At 47.0% G+C, this 16,907-nt stretch overlaps 1 protein-coding gene across 6 annotated transcripts in view, besides 6 other annotated features; it reads right to left on the bottom strand.

Moving 5' to 3' along the window:
* The window catches only part of FECH (ferrochelatase), a 42,326-nt gene extending 33,293 nt beyond the window's left edge, over window positions 1-9,033 (bottom strand). For 3 of the 6 annotated variants that reach the window (NM_001371094.1, NM_001374778.1, NM_000140.5), the window contains exons 1-2: window positions 8,885-9,033; window positions 2,404-2,530 (exon numbers count right to left, since the gene is read on the bottom strand). In NM_001371094.1, coding sequence (NP_001358023.1) covers window positions 2,404-2,530; window positions 8,885-8,951 — 194 coding nt within the window. In that variant the 5' untranslated portion in view covers window positions 8,952-9,033. Of the gene's footprint in view, window positions 1-2,385; window positions 2,531-8,194; window positions 8,305-8,884 lie in introns of all 6 variants that reach the window. The other 3 variants (XM_011525881.2, NM_001012515.4, NM_001371095.1) reach the window with 2 other exon arrangements.
* Window positions 2,526-2,575: an enhancer, noted in NCBI's record as "active region_13371". NCBI's record gives its function as "activates an Ori minimal core promoter by ATAC-STARR-seq in GM12878 lymphoblastoid cells {active_cell/tissue: GM12878}" and the evidence as "EXISTENCE:reporter gene assay evidence [ECO:0000049][PMID:35858748]".
* Window positions 3,550-3,609: an enhancer, noted in NCBI's record as "active region_13372". NCBI's record gives its function as "activates an Ori minimal core promoter by ATAC-STARR-seq in GM12878 lymphoblastoid cells {active_cell/tissue: GM12878}" and the evidence as "EXISTENCE:reporter gene assay evidence [ECO:0000049][PMID:35858748]".
* Window positions 3,630-3,809: an enhancer, noted in NCBI's record as "active region_13373". NCBI's record gives its function as "activates an Ori minimal core promoter by ATAC-STARR-seq in GM12878 lymphoblastoid cells {active_cell/tissue: GM12878}" and the evidence as "EXISTENCE:reporter gene assay evidence [ECO:0000049][PMID:35858748]".
* Window positions 8,725-8,774: a silencer, noted in NCBI's record as "silent region_9479". NCBI's record gives its function as "represses an Ori minimal core promoter by ATAC-STARR-seq in GM12878 lymphoblastoid cells {active_cell/tissue: GM12878}" and the evidence as "EXISTENCE:reporter gene assay evidence [ECO:0000049][PMID:35858748]".
* Window positions 8,785-8,844: a silencer, noted in NCBI's record as "silent region_9480". NCBI's record gives its function as "represses an Ori minimal core promoter by ATAC-STARR-seq in GM12878 lymphoblastoid cells {active_cell/tissue: GM12878}" and the evidence as "EXISTENCE:reporter gene assay evidence [ECO:0000049][PMID:35858748]".
* Window positions 8,855-9,214: a silencer, noted in NCBI's record as "silent region_9481". NCBI's record gives its function as "represses an Ori minimal core promoter by ATAC-STARR-seq in GM12878 lymphoblastoid cells {active_cell/tissue: GM12878}" and the evidence as "EXISTENCE:reporter gene assay evidence [ECO:0000049][PMID:35858748]".

The following is a 16,907-nucleotide window of genomic DNA, read 5'->3' on the forward strand; positions in this document are numbered from 1 at the left end:
TAAAGTAAATAAAAAGAGGGCATTATAAATATATGATGTACAGTACGGTCACATCTTGCTAAATACATACAGAGTGAATATTTAATAGTCATACAGACAAAATTGGCCTGGCTGGTCGCTCACACCTGTAATCCCAGCACTCTGGGAGGTTGAGGCAGGAGGACTGCTTGACCCCAAGAGTTCAAGACAAGCCTGAGCAACACAGTAAGACCTCGTCTCTATTTTTTTTTTAAGAAGACAGAGAGAGACAAAATATTGGGTGGTAAGATTATTCATAATGTTTTAAGGTTTTTTTTGTTGCCTATCCGTATTCTCTAAAATGATCCCATTTATTTTATATAAATATGATCTAAAGTTACTTAGTAGAATTTAAAGACTTTCATTTAATTTTAATAATATTAAGCCTACTTATATTAATGAGTTGCTGCTAGAAAAACACACAAATGAAATAATTTTTCTTCTAGGATTCCAAACTGAATCAGTTCTTCAGTTTCTATCAAATCCCAACCCTCAGTGCATATGGCTGAGGTGGGGAGAGGGGCTGGGAGGGGCAAGGAGAAATGGAATGGGCCCTGCTTGGCAGGCTGCCAGATGAAGAAGGTATCTAATGCCCATCCCCAACTAACCTCAGGTTACACAGCACTCAGTCATCATACCCATGATCATATAGCAAAAAACAATAAACACACAATAAGAAAATTTTGGTTCTGGCCAGGCACGGTGGCTCGTGGCTCATGGCTCATGCCTGTAATACCAGCACTTTGGGAAGCCATGGCAGAACTGCTGGAAGCCAAGAGTTCAAAACCAGCCTCGGCAGCAAAATGAGACCCCCATCTTTACAAGAAAAAAAATTTGTTTTAATTAGCTGGGTGTGGTGGTGTGCACCTGTAGTCCTAGCTACTTGGGAGGCTGAGACAGGAGGATCACTTAAGCCCAGGAGTTCAAGGATGCAGTGAGCCATGATCACACCACCGCACTCCAGCCTGGGTGACAGAGCTACACTCCTCAAAATAAAAACGGTGGCTCACGCCTGTAATCTCAGCACTTTGGGAGGCCAAGGTGGGTGGATCACTTGAAGTCAGGAGTTCGAGACCAGCCTGGCCAACATGGTGAAACCCCATCTCTACTAAAAATGCAAAATCAGCTGGGTGTGGTGGCATGCACCTGTAATCCCAGTTACTTGGGAGGCTGAGGCAGGAGAATGGCTTGAACTTGGGAGGTGTAGGTTGCAGTGAGCCAAGATCAAGTCACTGCACTCCAGCCTGGGTGAAAGAGCAAGACTCCCTCTCAAAAAAAAAATAAAATTACAGGCTCATGCCTGTAATCCCAGCACTTTGGAAGGCCAAGGCGGGCGGATCACTTGAAGTCAGGAGTTTGAGACCAGCCTGGCTAACATAGTGAATTCCCGTCTCTACTAAAAATACAAAAATTAGCCAGGCGTGGTGGTATGTGCCTGTAATCCCAGCTACTCGGGAGGCTGAGACATGAGAATTGCTTGAACCCGGGAGGTGGAGGCTGCAGTGAGCTGAGATTGTGCCACCACACTCCAGCCTGAGAGACAGAGTGAGACTCTCTCAAAAAAAAAAAAAAGATATATATATATATGTGTGTGTGTATATATGTGTGTGTGTGTGTGTGTGTGTGTATATATTCATACCTGTATAATTTTCATCAAACAATGTGTGATCTAGCAGAAAGGTCATGGAGTTAAATAGGTCCCAGCTACTTTCTCTCACTCTGCCTGATGTTAAAGGGTGCTGTTTCTATGTACTCATCTCGATAACTTCCCTTTATAGAGTCTTCTGTTGCCTCTGTACAGAGGAAGACTTGGGAGCGGTTGTGACTCCTGTTACTAAAGAGGACCCTTGCAACAATGCCATGCCTGCTGCCAGCCACCAGCAACAGAAGAGGTGAGGTATGAAACGTGTACTTCACTTCTTTAATAGATGATAAATCCTGTTACTTCTTTTATAATTACGTTCACTGTGTTAAGGGATGAAAAACAATACTCTAGCTTCCTATAGAAATTCTTGGTAGACCAGTTATTCGTTATCCTGTACAGAACATACATTTCATAGGCATAATTATGTTAGGTTCGTAAATACATTTCCAGCATATATAATTTGTGTTATGTGACATATTCCAGAACCAAATTCTTAACACAATTTGCAGACTGTTTGTACTCAACTCTGTGTCTTTTAACAATAGCCCTGTTGCAGGGAAGGATCCAGTGGGGAAGGAGGGTGTAAAATCTATGGTTTAACAGCTATTGAAAGGAAGCCAAGAAAATAGCTCCTTCCACACTGGCTTTTCCCAGCACCTTTCCTCCCAGGCAGCTTGTGTCTATTGGTGTCTGCATCGATAAAGAGAAATTCTTATTTGTACCTGATGTTAGACTCATACCTCTTCTGCGGTTGAACTTGAGGTTTTGCACCCTGGGCATGCTGGGCTGTTTCTGTGGTGACGGCCGCTGCAGCTGCACCTGACTTCCACCTCCATGGCTGACAGACCCTCCAGCTGCTGGATGCCACTGTGACAAAATTAAAGTGCTCGCATGAAATCTAGCTAGAAAGTAATTTCTTCTGAAGAGGTCCTCAGAGCATAATTCCTGACTTTAAAATTTAAAGAGATCCCATGGCAGAAATGATTTTCCTAGCATTTCTCTGCAGGCAGGTAAAGGAACTTAAGCCCTCTCCAAGGGGATGGGGTGGAGGATCGCTCCCCTAGGATGGCCGATGAGAGCCTGCAGAGAAGCATTTTAGAAACTACACACACCTCCTCTCCCCACCTCGGCTGCAGATTTTGATACAATCCCTCACAAGAACCCCTGCACGAGACCAACATGACTGACAGTAGCGTGCTGCTCCTGTGGAAGGAGAAGGGGCTGCAGAAAAGTGAAAAGCCGCCGATTTCGGGAGTGGCGAGTGGGCCAGTTTCCAAATAGCTGCAGTTCTCCTTTCTGCCTCCAAGCCTTCTTCGGAAAGCACTCGTGCTGAGAACCCAGTACTGCCCTTGAACCTTGACAAGGGGCCTCTGCTTCCCAGGGCCTGTTCTGGCCCTCCTCCCACTGCACCCCACCCCACGGGGTATGCAGTCTCTACCACCAAGGAGACATGCCACCCCAGGAGTCCACATCCCACGTGCCAGACCAGGCTCCCAGCGCCCCAGGATTCCCTGTCCCCCAAGCTCCACACCCACTCCCAGGGTCTGTGCAGGCATTTTTTCAGATCCATCCTCCTGAGGGAGGTTGTGCCATCAGTGGATCAAGTCTTGACCTGAATGGTGGCCAAGGGATAGATAGCTGTTTGCAGGGGCAAGAGTGGAACTGGGCATGAAGACCAGAGAGTCCATCCAGGCTGTCTGTGAGGCTCCCCACAAGGCCAGAAAGAGCCAGCGGCAAGAAGAGAAGCAGGAAAGCATGTCAGTCAGAGGCAACTCTCCAAAGGCCTCTACACTTCTGCAGGAACTCAGAGAGTTCAAGAGCTCATCCTTCCAGGTTGTGATCAAGGTCTATTTGTCAACATAGGAGGACAGAACATATTTCCCAGTTTGTTAGCTTGCTATATCCCACATACCATATATGTGCCTTCAAGTATACCCTTGTCCTGGGCCCCACAGGAGGTGGCAGTGGGTCTGAAGAACCCACCTGAATTGAGGAGATCATGTGCCATACTCAGCTGTCATATGAAGAGTACTGGTCCTTAAACAGCCAGTGAAATGAAACTGAAGCCATATAGGAAGTACTGAAGATGGCCATGTGAGACGGTGGTTACTGTGGTGCCTGGTGCTATGCACATGACCTCTTCCCCATTCTCAAACCAGCCGGTTAGAAACCAGCTTGCGATCAGTCTCCTTCTGCCCTCCTCCTCCTAAGAGGCAAAGGTGCCCTGAGGAGGAATTCAGGCTGTGGGTTAAGCAGCTCTGACTCTGAATTCAGCTCTGCCACTTACTAGCAATGTGACCTGGGGCCAGGTCTTCCTGAGCCTGAGTTTCCCCACCTGTAAAATGACACCTTGCTACAGGGATTCTTGAAAGGAGTAGAGCAGAGGAGTGAAGCGTTCTGCAGTGTCCACCATGTGATTAGTACTGGTGTTAGTTTCAATTGTCAGTTTCTAGAGGACGGGAACTATACCTGCTCTGATTTTATCACCTAGCATGTCTGTAAAATATAAGAGAATTATATCTCCAGGCCATTAGATTTCCAACCACCCAGATTGTACACATTCCTAGCACAGCCAATCATGTCAGCTTATGCTGAATAATCTTTACCAACTCAAAGTGGAAGTGCAAAGATTCCATAAAGAAGTTCAATTCCATCTGGTTTGAGTTGGTGTTTTAAAAAAAAAAAAATTCAATTCCAAGGCTCAAACCAACTCACATCTCCTTTTTTACTAAGTTTAATTCTGAACTTCATCGTGGGATTTAACCAGGTTCCTAATCATGCTGCAATGGCCCTAATTCCTTATGAGTGAGATTGTATCGGATTCCATGGGGCATGAGAATGAAACCTTGGCATTCCACAGTTTGACTGCTGGTACAAGTTTAGCATCCCAAATGTGAAAATCCAAAATCCAAAATGCTCCAAAACCTGAAACTTTTTGAGCACTGACATGACACTCAAAGAAAATGCTCATTGGAGCATTTTGAATTTTAGATTTTCAGATTTGGAATGCTCAATCTGTAAGTAAGTATATTCCAAAACCTAAAAAAAATCTGTCCAAAACACCTCTGGTCCCAAGCATTCAGGATAAGGGGTACTCAACCTGTAATAAAATGACATTTCCTCCTTCAAACCTAAAAAAAGGAAGGAGTGCCAGGTGTGGTGGCTCACACCTGTAATCCCAGCACTTTGGGAGGCAGAGGTGGGAGGATCGCTTGAGCCCAGACATTTGGGGGCAGCCTGGGCAACATAGCAAGACCCTCGTTTCTACACAAAATTTAAGGAGTTAAAAAAAAAAGAAAGGCCGGGCGCGGTGGTTCATGCCTGTAATCCCAGCACTTTGGGAGGCCGAGGCGGGTGGATCACGAGGTCAGGAGATCAAGACCATCCTGGCTAACACGGTGAAACCCCATCTCTACTAAAAATACAAAAAAAAAAAAAAAATTAGCCAGGCGTGGTGGCGGGTGCCTGTAGTTCCAGGCTGAGACAGGAGAATGACATGAACCCGGGAGGTGGAGCTTGCAGTGAGACGAGATCACACCACTGCACTCCAGCCTGGGTGACAGAGTGAGACTCCATCTCAAAAAAAAAAAAGAAGAAGGAAGCGGTGGGGAGGGACTAGATTTTCCAACTAGTAGATGAGGATTTCCTAATAAATTTGGGAGCTAGTAGCTTTTCAAGCTGCTTAACTATTACCATGTCTTACTTACAAAATTATTTTCTCCATGGTTCACCAGATTCTCAGAGAGGAGAATGATGTCGCTGCCAAGGGACCCTTTCCACTCAGGTTCGTTAATACACTCACCCTTCAAGGACTCATCCAAAACACTCCTCTCCCCTAATGATCTGAAGATTCTAGAAAAATGAAAAGCGTCTCCTACCAAACAATTAGCATTCGTCCAGGCTAAAGGAGTTTAAAGTAAACATTCAAAGGGCCAACTGAGACTCTGGAAAAGACTCAGCTCACAGCTGAAGAGAATCTGATGGCACGGGCAGCATTGCGTGGCGTAGAGAGTACGTGTTCGGAAACCAGAGAGATCTGAGCAGAAATCCCACACGGGACCAAGAGGCTGTATGGCTGGGCCTGGGCCACTCACTGAGATGCTGCGAGTCTCACTTTTCTCATCTGCAAAATAGTGATAAGGCTACTTCTGCAGGGCTGCTGTGAAGATAAGAGGGGAAAAATATGTCCAGCCCCAAGAGCAATGCCTTGCACACTGCATGTGGCTGAGCAAAGGGGTGAAGAATATCCAATAGTATAGACTTGCCCATTTATGAACTAAGACCAAGTAATTCTGCCCCTCCTCCTTACATGGATAACTGATCTACCTTTAGAAGGCCTACAAACAGGCCGGGCATGGGGGCTCACGCCTGTAATTCCAGCACTTTGGGAGGCCGAGGCGGGAGAACTGCTTGGGCCCAGGAGTTTGAGACTAGCCTAGGCCATGTGGAGAGACCCTATCTCTATTTTGTTTAATTAAAAAGAAAAAAAGAAGGCCTACAAACAATAAAAATGATCAAACCGACAGATAAGCAGCAAAACAGAAGATGACATAAGAAAACGAAACTTCACCGGGCACAGTGGCTCATGCCTGTAATCCTAGCACTTTGGGAGGCCGAGGCGGGCAGATCACAGGTCAGGAGATAGAGATCATCCTGGCTAACACAGTGAAACCCATCTCTACTAAAAACACAAAAAAATTAGCCGGGTGTGGTGGCACCTGCCTGTAGTCCCAGCTACTTGGGAGGCTGAGGCAGGATAATCCCTTGAACCTGGGAGGCGGAGGTTGCAGTGAGCCGAGATCATGCCACTGCACTCCAGCCTGTCGACAGAGCGAGACTCCGTCTCAAAAAAAAAAAAAAAAGAAAACAAAACTTCATAACTCCTGCAGTGGTGGACACCTGTAGTCCCAACTACTTGGAAGACTGAGGCAGGAGGCTCACTTGAGCTCAGGAGTTCAAGACCAGCCTAGGCAACAGAGTGAGACTCGGTCTCAAAAAAAAAAAAAAAAAAAACTCTCAAAAAACAAACTTCATAATTCCTGGACAAATCCAATAGGTGATCATTCAGAAGTATACCTATGACTTAAGAAGTTCCTAAGTTATGACTTCATGTTGTTGCAAAAAGAAATAAAGAAAAAGGAAAAACAGAAAAAAAAGTTCTTAAGTATCAACTGGTTCTTCAAAACCAAATTAATATTTTGGATCCTTGTGGGCGAGGCAGAAGAGGGTGGGGGGCGAGATACACAAGTATTGAAATCTATAATGGCACTTTTCTATCACATAGGAGATGAGGATTACTTCAAAAGTACTTATAAAATATGCACCGTTTTTAAAATTAACAAAAGAAATAAGGTTCTATATTATAACTATTAATAAACATAGTGGGTGCTTCAAAATATTGGTTAGTTGCTGATATGGAGCCAAAATGTTCTAATGTCTCTTATGTAAACCCTACAACTCTTTTATTATCCTAGAATTGTTTTTCTAATTACATAAGACAATATATGCTCAGTGAAAAAAAATGTTTGGGGGGCCAGGCACACTAGATCATGCCTGTAATCCCAGCTACCAGGGAGGCTGAGGCGGGAGGATCACTTGATCCCAGGATTTCAAGGCTGCAGTGAACTATGATGGCACCACCGTACACCAGCCTGAGCGACAGAGCAACACTCCATCTCTTAAAAAAACAAAAGAAACAAAACGTTTAAAGTTTGGAAAGAAAAAGGCACCAAGAAAAAAAATAATTCATATAGATAGCTAAACAGACAGATAATATATGGCCCACCCCCGGAAGCTTCTTATTAATTCTGTAATATGCTAAATACATAAAGTATAAAACTTTGCTTTTCCACTTTTACTTTCAGAACTCATTTTCGGAAATAATCCTCAGTGTTTTCTCACACAGAAGTTGATCTTTTCCTATCAACCAAAATGATGAAGTATTATAACTATGCCTTCAAATCAAAGTCTGTAACACAAATAAGACTCCAAATCTACTTCTGCTAGCGTTTCTGAATCTTTCCACTTTTAACCTAGACTACAAATAATTTAAAGTTTCACATATTGTTCCACGACCTCAAATCTAGGACCTGTCAGACTTTATTTGCCACAGGAAAGGTCAGTGAAAGAAAAGATTAGTTCAATACTTCTTTCAGCCCCACGACTGGCACTGTGCTGCCTCTTCTTAAAAAACAATGCCCTTTGTCCCCCAGCGCCCTTAGTGAGCTAGCCTCATTGTACACTGGGTCCTTAGTATTTTCCTAACAAAGGCACGTCTAATGAGATATGGAGGTTCAGAGGGGATTCCCTCCACTCCAAGTAGGTGTCAGACTGACGAACGTCTTAGAAAAATATGTCCGGTCTGTGTCCAGTCACCGTTCGGATGCATTGAATAAGCATCTTATTCGTGGCAGCCTTCTGCATGAATGGCTAGACATCTTGAGGATGCCTGTGTACTACTGTGTGCCAGGCAAGGTGCTCATGTTCAAGGCAAGCCTTAAAAAAAAAATTAGGATTTCAATGTACATTTACCAAAGCTCTGGCGAGGTTAGGTGCCTTGTTCAAGGTGTCACAGTTGGAAATGCTGTCCCAGCCAGGTGTGTGAGATCCACAGTCCCATCAGCTCATCCTGTGGTCACAACCTATTCACGGTTTGCATCAGAAACGTGGGAGGCTGTTCCTGGGTCTTACAAGTTCCCCAGATATCTCTAGAAAACGCTAGCCCAGGCTGCCCCACGGGGGGTCCCGCTGCTAAGGAGAAGTGGGCACAGAGGGACCAAGGACCATGGGCTTTCCTCAGCAGGGAGGGAACTGCAGGGCAGATGTCCATGGTGGTGATGATGAAGATGCCTTCCTTACTATCCTCTATGGCAGGCCCATAACATACCTTCCCTCGCGTAATCTTCTCAACAGCCTGGTTATTGCAGGTGACAATAACCAAGGCTCTGGGAAATTCCAGCCACTGCTCCAAGCCACCCAGCCGACCGATGGGACTTGAACCTGCGCCTCCTGGATCCGGGCGCCCTCCCCGCGGCCTCCCGAGCCCTGAGTGCTGCCCTCAGCCCTCCCTTCTCCGCGACGCCCCTCGCCCGGTTGCTCGCAGCACCCCCAAGGCCGCTCCCCGAATCCCCCGGGCGCGAGGGCCCGGGCGCCAGCTGCCCGCTCTGCCCACGCCTTCTCAGGGATCCTGGCCCTGGCGGCCGCCGCGACAGACCCACTTACGCGGATCGCGGAGCAGGACGCCCGCGGCGCGCAGGGCCGCAGCCATGTTTGCGCCGAGTGAACGCATTGCCTGGGCAGCCTCGGCCCGAGTCCGGGCTCCTCCCGCGGCGGCGCGCCCAGGTGTCCGCCCAGCAGTGGCCGAGCCGGGTAGCGATCCCCACGCGCGTCCCCAGCCCCCTGACCTCGCGCCCTCCCGGCGCGCCCGCTCATTCGCTGCCGGGCCGGGGCGGGCGAGGCCAGGCAGAGACACGCCCCTCGCGGAGAGCCCGCCCCAGCTGGGCGCCGCTCCCTGCGTGAAAATGGGCCCGGGGGCTGAGCTAGAAGCCCGCTCCCCACCACCATCGCAGGTCACTGCAAAACCTGCTGGACTCCTAGTTGCGTGCCCTGTTTGCATCTGCCAAACTAGCGAAGTCAGGATCCTCAGCCATGACTCAGCAAATAACTTTTTTCGACGTTTCCATTACTATTATTTAGATATAAGGATGCTTTTGCCTCAGTTCTCCAGTTTGCCTGCCTAGTCACAACACAAGTGTGCAGATCCTGTTTTGTTTTGCTTTATTTTCAGAATAGAAAAAGGGATTATTCAGTTTCTCTGCACCCTCTCTGTGTAGCAGAATTTGACAGGTGAAACTCACTGAAGAGCATTAGGAAAAGTGAAGGCCAGCCTGGCAAGTGCATTTCTTGGAGGGACGGTATGATGAGGTTTGTCTGTATCATATCCGCGCACCTTCCCAGTTTAGCCGCCCGTCCCGCCCCCAAGGTCGCACACTGAGATCACTGGGAGGAACAGGCGCCCATTTCATTCCTACACCTCCGTCAGCCCACCCTGCCTATATATGTTCAGTGCATTGTGGAGTAGGAAACCAGCCCTTGGTACAGAAAGGTCTCAGGCATCGGTATTCATTGAACAAATATTGAGCACCTACTATGTGCACTGGGAAAACAGTAGTGAAAAGAGTAGACGGGGGCTTACATGGGGTTAGGGGAGACACAGAAAATAATCACAACATGTAATACTTTGAATGATGGAGCCCTTCCACGGCCTCCCCTCTTCTTTTTCCCTCTCAGGACAAAAGAAGAATGAAGCAAGGTAAAAGAGATGGGGTAGGGTGGGGGAAGGGACTAATGCAATTTGAAGCAGGTGGGTCAGAGTCTCACACATTCGAGCAAAGGCCTTATACACATTTGAGCAAAGGGGGCAAGCCATATGGAACATTCAGGGAAGATGGAGTCTAGATTCAGCTGAAACCCAGTTTTCTGTAGCTTAAATATGTGCTACTGATGGAATTAGTTTATTTCTTATTAAAGTTGGTCCTCCTGATGGTTATAAGCCCAATGCAAAATGTCAAATTAAATGGATAGCCTTTCATATTACCTACATGATCTTCATATCCAAGCGGATGTCCTGAGAAAAGCACAGTAAAACCTGCTCCAGGTATCAACCCACCTTCCTTATATGTGTGGCTATTCTCTACCCTCATAAAAAAATTATAGTCTTCTTAAGTTGCCCTGTAAAGAGGTGATCTTCATGGATAACATACTTCTCTACCTACAGTCTGAACCCATTTTTGTTGTTGTTGTTGTTATTTGTTTGTTTTGTATTTCCAGTAGATACAGAGTTTTGCCATGTTGGCCAGACTGGTCTCGAACTTCTGACCTCAAGTGGTCCACCCACCTCGGCCTCCCAAAGTGCTGGGATTACAGGCGTGAGTCACCATGCGCGGCCTGAGCCCATTTCTTCTAAAGAAACTAAATTGAAAGGCTGCACACCTCGCAATGCTGTGCTGGCAGACATGTAGACAAGGCCAGAGAATAAAATGGCCGGGGGGGTTAGACGTCTGAGCTATGAAGGCTCTTCTTGTCCCCTCTGGGAGGCCCTGGAGAAAGTCATCCCCTCCATCCAGGGTGCTGGGCCCTCCTGCTGGGTAGAGATAAGGGGGCTTCTGGTCCCTCCCAGGCAAACGCTGATGATTAGTGACAAGGCATAAAGGTGCCAAGTCTCACCAGTACAAAATCAATGGCTGGCGTGGGTTAAATTTCTGTCCAGAAATGATTATGGAACTAGCAAGACATACTTTATTAAATATTTTAATGAATCAGCATCATTTCATTTCTTTTATTCGCATCTTGCACTTTCATTTTTACTGACTTCTTTTTTTATTTTTTATTTTTTCATTAATTAATTAATTTTTTTTGTTTTTTTTTTTTTTAGAGGGAGTCTCACCCTGTTGCCCAGGCTGGAGTGCAATGGCACGATCTCGGCTCACTGCAACCTCCGCCTACTGGGTTCAAGTGATTCTCCTGCCTCAGTCTCCCGAGTAGCTGGGATTACAGGTGCTTTACTGACTTTTAAAAACTCATTCAAAATTCCTCATGTATAAAACCTCCTGGTGCACATATTAAGAACTCATGGGTTATAACTGAAAACAGAACTTCATTCTTTTTCCCCAACAGAGAGTACCATAACAATTGTTATTCCTAATCTATGGCTTATTTCTTACAAACATTGAATATAACAGCTTTCCAATGAGTAAATTTTTATGTTCTTATGCAGTGAAAGCAGATAAAATGTGCTTTATGTTGGTCCTTTTCAAAACTGGTAGAAAACACAGTCCTTAATCCAGAAATTGTGAACTCTAAATACAGGCTTACCAGAAAAGCCCTTGAAAGGCTAAAGAAATTTGCGGAACCATATGATATACATAATATGAATTTTTTCTGACTTAACATATTTTTAACAAAATGACACACCAATTCCATTAGCAAACAGAAGGCTAAAAAGGCACAGTGTGTGGGCTAACGGAGATAAGGAGCACCCCAACCAGGAGGGAGAGGGTTTGTCTGGGGCCTGGTGAGTTCATTAGTGAATAAAGCACTCACCTGTCACAGACACCACTCTGAGTGCAGCCTGTGATCCTAAATAAAATGAATTTGTTGGTTTCAGCTCAGTGCTTCAGGGAAAGGGGTGGGAAATCTCTTCATTCATTATTTGCCATGATTGGCACCTCTGAGCTACACAAACTAAATTTAGATTATTCAACTCTGATTCCTTAATCAGAAAAATAACTGGGGAAGGGAGGAATCAGGAGGCATTCAGGGCAAGAGAAACAGTGGCTGCATGTAACAAATGGTAAGCTATAATGATTACTCAGAGAAATCTGATCAATTGTCCCTAGAATCATTTTACAACAAAGAGGCCACCAAATCCAGGCCAACATGCCATGCGTTTTGACTTGCCCCTCTTCACCACGCAGAGCCTTCAGCCCAATGGTGGTGACGGGTTTATTAATCCATCTGCCCATATTTCCTGACCATCTACCATGAGCAAAACATTAGGTCATGTAGAGGATAAAAGAGTGAAAAGGAAAACAAACAACATTCTCAAACAGCTCATTCGCTTATGAAACAAGCGTATGGGAGACTCCAGTCTATGTCAGGCACATGGCAGGCACTGGGTGTGCAGCAATGAACCGGACAGTCCCTAATTTCACGGAACGTACCTTCTAGAAGGCAAGGCAGACAATCGTTTTACAACAAAGATGAAAGACATACAACATATTGTCAGGTATGGCTAGGGACCAGAAGAAAGCTAAAGGAGGTGGAGGAAGGGAGAGAGGCCGCAACTGCCCAGGTCAGTAGTGCAGTCAGGACCAGCCTCTCTGCAAAGGTGGCATTTCAGCAGTGACCTGAAGGGAGTGAGGGCGTTGTCCGGGGAAGGGCTTGCAAGCAGAGAGGCCAGCAAGCGCTGGAACACATTTGAGGCTTGTATTCATTTCCTAGGGCTGCTGGAACAAAATACCACAAACCAGGCAGGCAAATGTGTTGTCGTCCAGTTTTGAAGGCTAGAAATGCAAAATCAGGGTGTCAGCAGGGCTGTGCTCCCTCTGAAACCTGTAAGGGAGAATCCTTCCTTGCCTTTTTTAGCTCATGGCGGTGGCAACAATCCTTGGCGTTCCTCAGCTTGTAGATGCAGCACTCCATCCTCTGCCTCCACAGTCACAGCCTGTCTTCTCCTCTTGGAAGGACGCCAGTCATTTTGGATTAAAGGCCTACTCTAATAACCTCATCTTAACCTGACTGCGTCTGCAAAGACCCTGTTTCCAAATAAGTTCATGTTTACAGGTACCTGGGGGCTAGGATGTCAACATGTCTGTTGGGGGAACACAACTCAGCCCCATAACAAGGCTGTCAAAGAACAGCAGGGAGGCCACATGGCTTGAGTAGGGGGGCGGCGAGAGGTAGGGGAACCAGGGCGGATTGATGTAGAACTTTGTAGGTAATGAAAAACTGTGTCTTCTGAGTGACCTCCATTCTTCACTTATACTGCATGACTAAATGTGCCCATTGTGGCTGGGTGCCGTGGCTCACGCCTGTAATCCCAGCACTTTGGGAGGCTGAGGCGGGCAGATCACCTGAGGTCGGGAGTTTGAGGCCAGCCTGAGCAACACAGAGAAACCCGTCTCTACTAAAAATACAAAATTAGCCGGGCATGGTGGCACATGCCTGTAAACCAGCTACTGAGGAGGCTGAGACAGGAGAATCGCTTGAACCTGGGAGGCGGAGGTTGTGGTAGGCCAAGATTGCACTGTTGCACTGCAGCCTGGGCGACATGAGCGAAACTCCATCTAAAAAAAAAAAAGTGCCCATTGTGATTTTTTTTTTTTTTTTTTTTAGCTCATTCATACTGGGTGTTTTTTCCAGGGTTCTCTGCTTCCTGGGTGGTGGAAGGGTCCCTAAGAGGCCTTTCTGATTTGCTTCTTCCAGGACCCAGGGGTCCCACCAGTCTTAGACCAAGTTTGTGTGAATATCTCAACTTGGTTGTCCTGTTCCCTGCAGTTGTATAAATTCACAGCCAGGGAGTAGGCATTCCCCAGAGCCCTGGGAAGATGGCAGGCTTCCTTGTGCTTCTCTGGGCTAGAGAGCCAATTTTCTGGATTACTTTTCACAGAAGTGCCGGGCCTCTGCGGCCCTGCTTCATGGAGGGGTCTGGTTCTAGCTCCACCTTCCTATGGCTGCATGGGCATTCTAGGAGCTGGGCACATGATGTGTTCACTGTGAAAACTCATGGAGTTGCATGCTTATGATGTATGCCTTTTTCTGTATAAATGTTATACTTTAATGAAACTTTTTTTTTTAAGGGGCCCCTTGGTGCCTTTATCTGGCTGGGCACTGGCTGGGCTCAATTCTCCCTGGAGCCCCCATTCCTAACCTAACAGCTCTGACTTTGAGATTCTCTCTAGCCCCTCCCCTCCAATTCTGATACCCAGAGATGTTCCTTTCTCACCTAGGATTTTGAGGGCAAATAGATGTATCTAGTAAATCTGTTTATAATGCGGTAACAAGAGGTGAGCAGAAGTTTCCCTGATAAAAGTGAGAGAGGGTTTCAGGCTAAGAAGATGAAGGAATGCTTTCCATCGAGGAGGTGTCTGAACTTACAATAAGAGGACTGAGATAGGCTGAATGTGCAGAGACAGCAAGAAGGTGGAAGAGCACATGAGAACCAGGAGCAAGACCTTCACTTGGCCATAGCACAGGGTATGGCGAGGACTAGGAGAAAAGGCTGGGGTCCCAGCCCGAATGCACTGAGGGCTTGGCCCTTCATAGGCCAGCAGAGGCATCAAGAGCCATGACAGTCAGGGAGGTGAGCAGCTGCTGTGGCAGAGAATACTGAGCAAACAGGGTGTGGGTCATAGGACGTAATAGGGGCCAGGCAAGGAGACCAAGCTGGACAGAGTGGCCACAGGTGAGGATTGAGGTGTGGAGCAGAGTGGCAATGGAAGTGAAGATGGCAGGGGAGCAAATGGTATGGAGAAGGCCAGGCCCAGTGGCTCACACCTGTAATCCTAGCACTTTGGAGGCTGAGGCGGGAGGATTACTTGAGCCCAGGAATTTAAGACCAGCTTGGGCAACATGGCAAAACCCCATCTCTACAAAAAATACAAAGATTAGCTGGGCATGGTGGTGTGCACCTGTAGTCCCAGCTACTCAGGAGGCTGAGGCAGGAGGATTGCTTAAGCCAGGGAGGCCAAGGCTGCAATGAGCAGTGATCACGCCACTTGCACTCCAGCCTGAGCAGCAGAGTGGGACCCTGTTTCAAAAAATATATTTAAAATTTTTTAATTAAAAATTTAATTTTTTTAAAAAAAGATATGGAGAAGTCGAGAGGACAGGCACAGGTTATGGCATCTTAAAGATAAGAAGCAGGCTGGAATCAAGTAACTCCAAGGTTTCTGGTCTTCATGAGGCCGAAAAAGAGAAGCACATTAGTTAGCAGCAGAGCTGGTCTGAGACAAAGCTGGGGGCTCTTTGTCATTGCTGTTCTCATTGTTTTGTTTCTAACCACATATATTTTATGCTGCAGGAAGTAGAAAAGACAAAGAGGTACAGCTAATTTTTTTTTTTTTTTTTAGACAGAGTTTCACTCTTGTTGCCCAGGCTGGAGGGCAATGGCACCATCTCGGCTCACTGCAACCTCCGCCTCCCAGGTTCAAGCAATTCTCCTACCTCAGCCTCCCGAGTAGCTGGGATTACAGGTGCCTCCCATCACACCCAGCTAATTTTTTGTATTTTTAATAGAGACAGGGTTTCACCACATTGGTCAGGCTGGTCTCAAACTCCTGACCTCAAGTGATCCACCCGCCTCAGCCTCCCAAAGTGCTGGGATTACAGACATGAACCACACTGTGCCTGGCCAAATTTTTTTAAAAAGTTTTAGTGGTCATTGATATAGCAATAGTGATTGAACCTAGCCATTCATTCATCATTTTTTCAGAGCCTGCTATGTGCCTTGCATAGCCCACCGCTGCCCACAAGCAGCTTATACACCAGCAGAGAAGCAGCTATCTAAACAAAGAGAAATAAAAGGTACAGAGGTCTGTTCTGGGTTCCATACAGCAGCGGGAGGCAAGGGGCAGGGCTGTCAGGACAGCCCCCAGGCAGAGGCTGCTGGTGCCCCGTATCATTTCCAGGAAGACGGGGCGGCTGCTGGGGGACAGGCCTTGCAGGTCAGGAGGGCAGCAAGCCCTGTGACAGCAAGATGGGTTCTGCAGCTGCTGGTTGGTCAGTGAGAAGGGACGATCTGAAGGATTTAGCGAGGTGAGTACTGAGTCCTGGAGGTGGGCAGGGGCCGGCTCACAGGGAGCCTGGTGAGCCAGGGTCAAGGTCTGGGCTGGGTCCTGTATGCCACAGACTAGAGTAGCTGCAACAAGGAAAGTTAAGACAGGCTTCTGGGTCACACTCACATTTAGCCCGCAGGAAAAGGAGTCACAATAACTGTAATGGCTTCCATTTATTAAGTGCCAGACATGGAATCGCTGCAACTGGCTTATAAAGAGGAGGTACCACCCTGTTTTACAGATGAGGAAAACAGAGTCACAGAGGTCCCCTGACTTGCCTGAATCCAGTTAGCAAGGGGCAGAGCCAGTATTTGGACCCAGGTATGTTTGGCTCCCAAGCCAGGGCTGGCTCCATACCTTCAGGGTGCATCTCACAAGAGAAAAAGGTGACAGAAAGCAGGGGTCAGGCCAGGCATGGTGGCTCACACCTGTAATCCCAGCACTTTGAGAGGCCGAGGCACACACCTGTAATCCCAGCCTTTGAGAGGCCGAGGCAGGCTTGAGGTCAGGAGTCCAAGACTAGCCTGGCCAATGTGGCAAAACCCCATTTCTACTAAAAATACAAAAATTAGCCTGGTGTGGTGGTGTATGCCTATAATCCCAGCTACTAGGGAGGCTGAGGCAGGAGAATCACTTGAACCCAGGAGGCAGAGGTTGTAGTGAGCCGAGATCACACCACTGCACTCCAGCCTGGGCAACAAAGCAAGACTCTGTCTCAAACAAAAAAAAGAAGGCAAGCAGGGGTCAGAGAGCGCCTATGGAGTTCTCACCACTCACCCAGGTGTTCCTGTCACCAATGTCACGGATTTGTTAGAGGCACTGAATTATGAATTCAAATTTGTGCGTGAACCTGAATGCACGAAGGAAATTCTTTTTTAACAGACATAGCCAGAGAATAATAGGTATCT

Source organism: Homo sapiens, chromosome 18 (genome assembly GCF_000001405.40).
Source record: "Homo sapiens chromosome 18, GRCh38.p14 Primary Assembly".
NCBI classification, from domain to species: domain Eukaryota; kingdom Metazoa; phylum Chordata; class Mammalia; order Primates; family Hominidae; genus Homo; species Homo sapiens.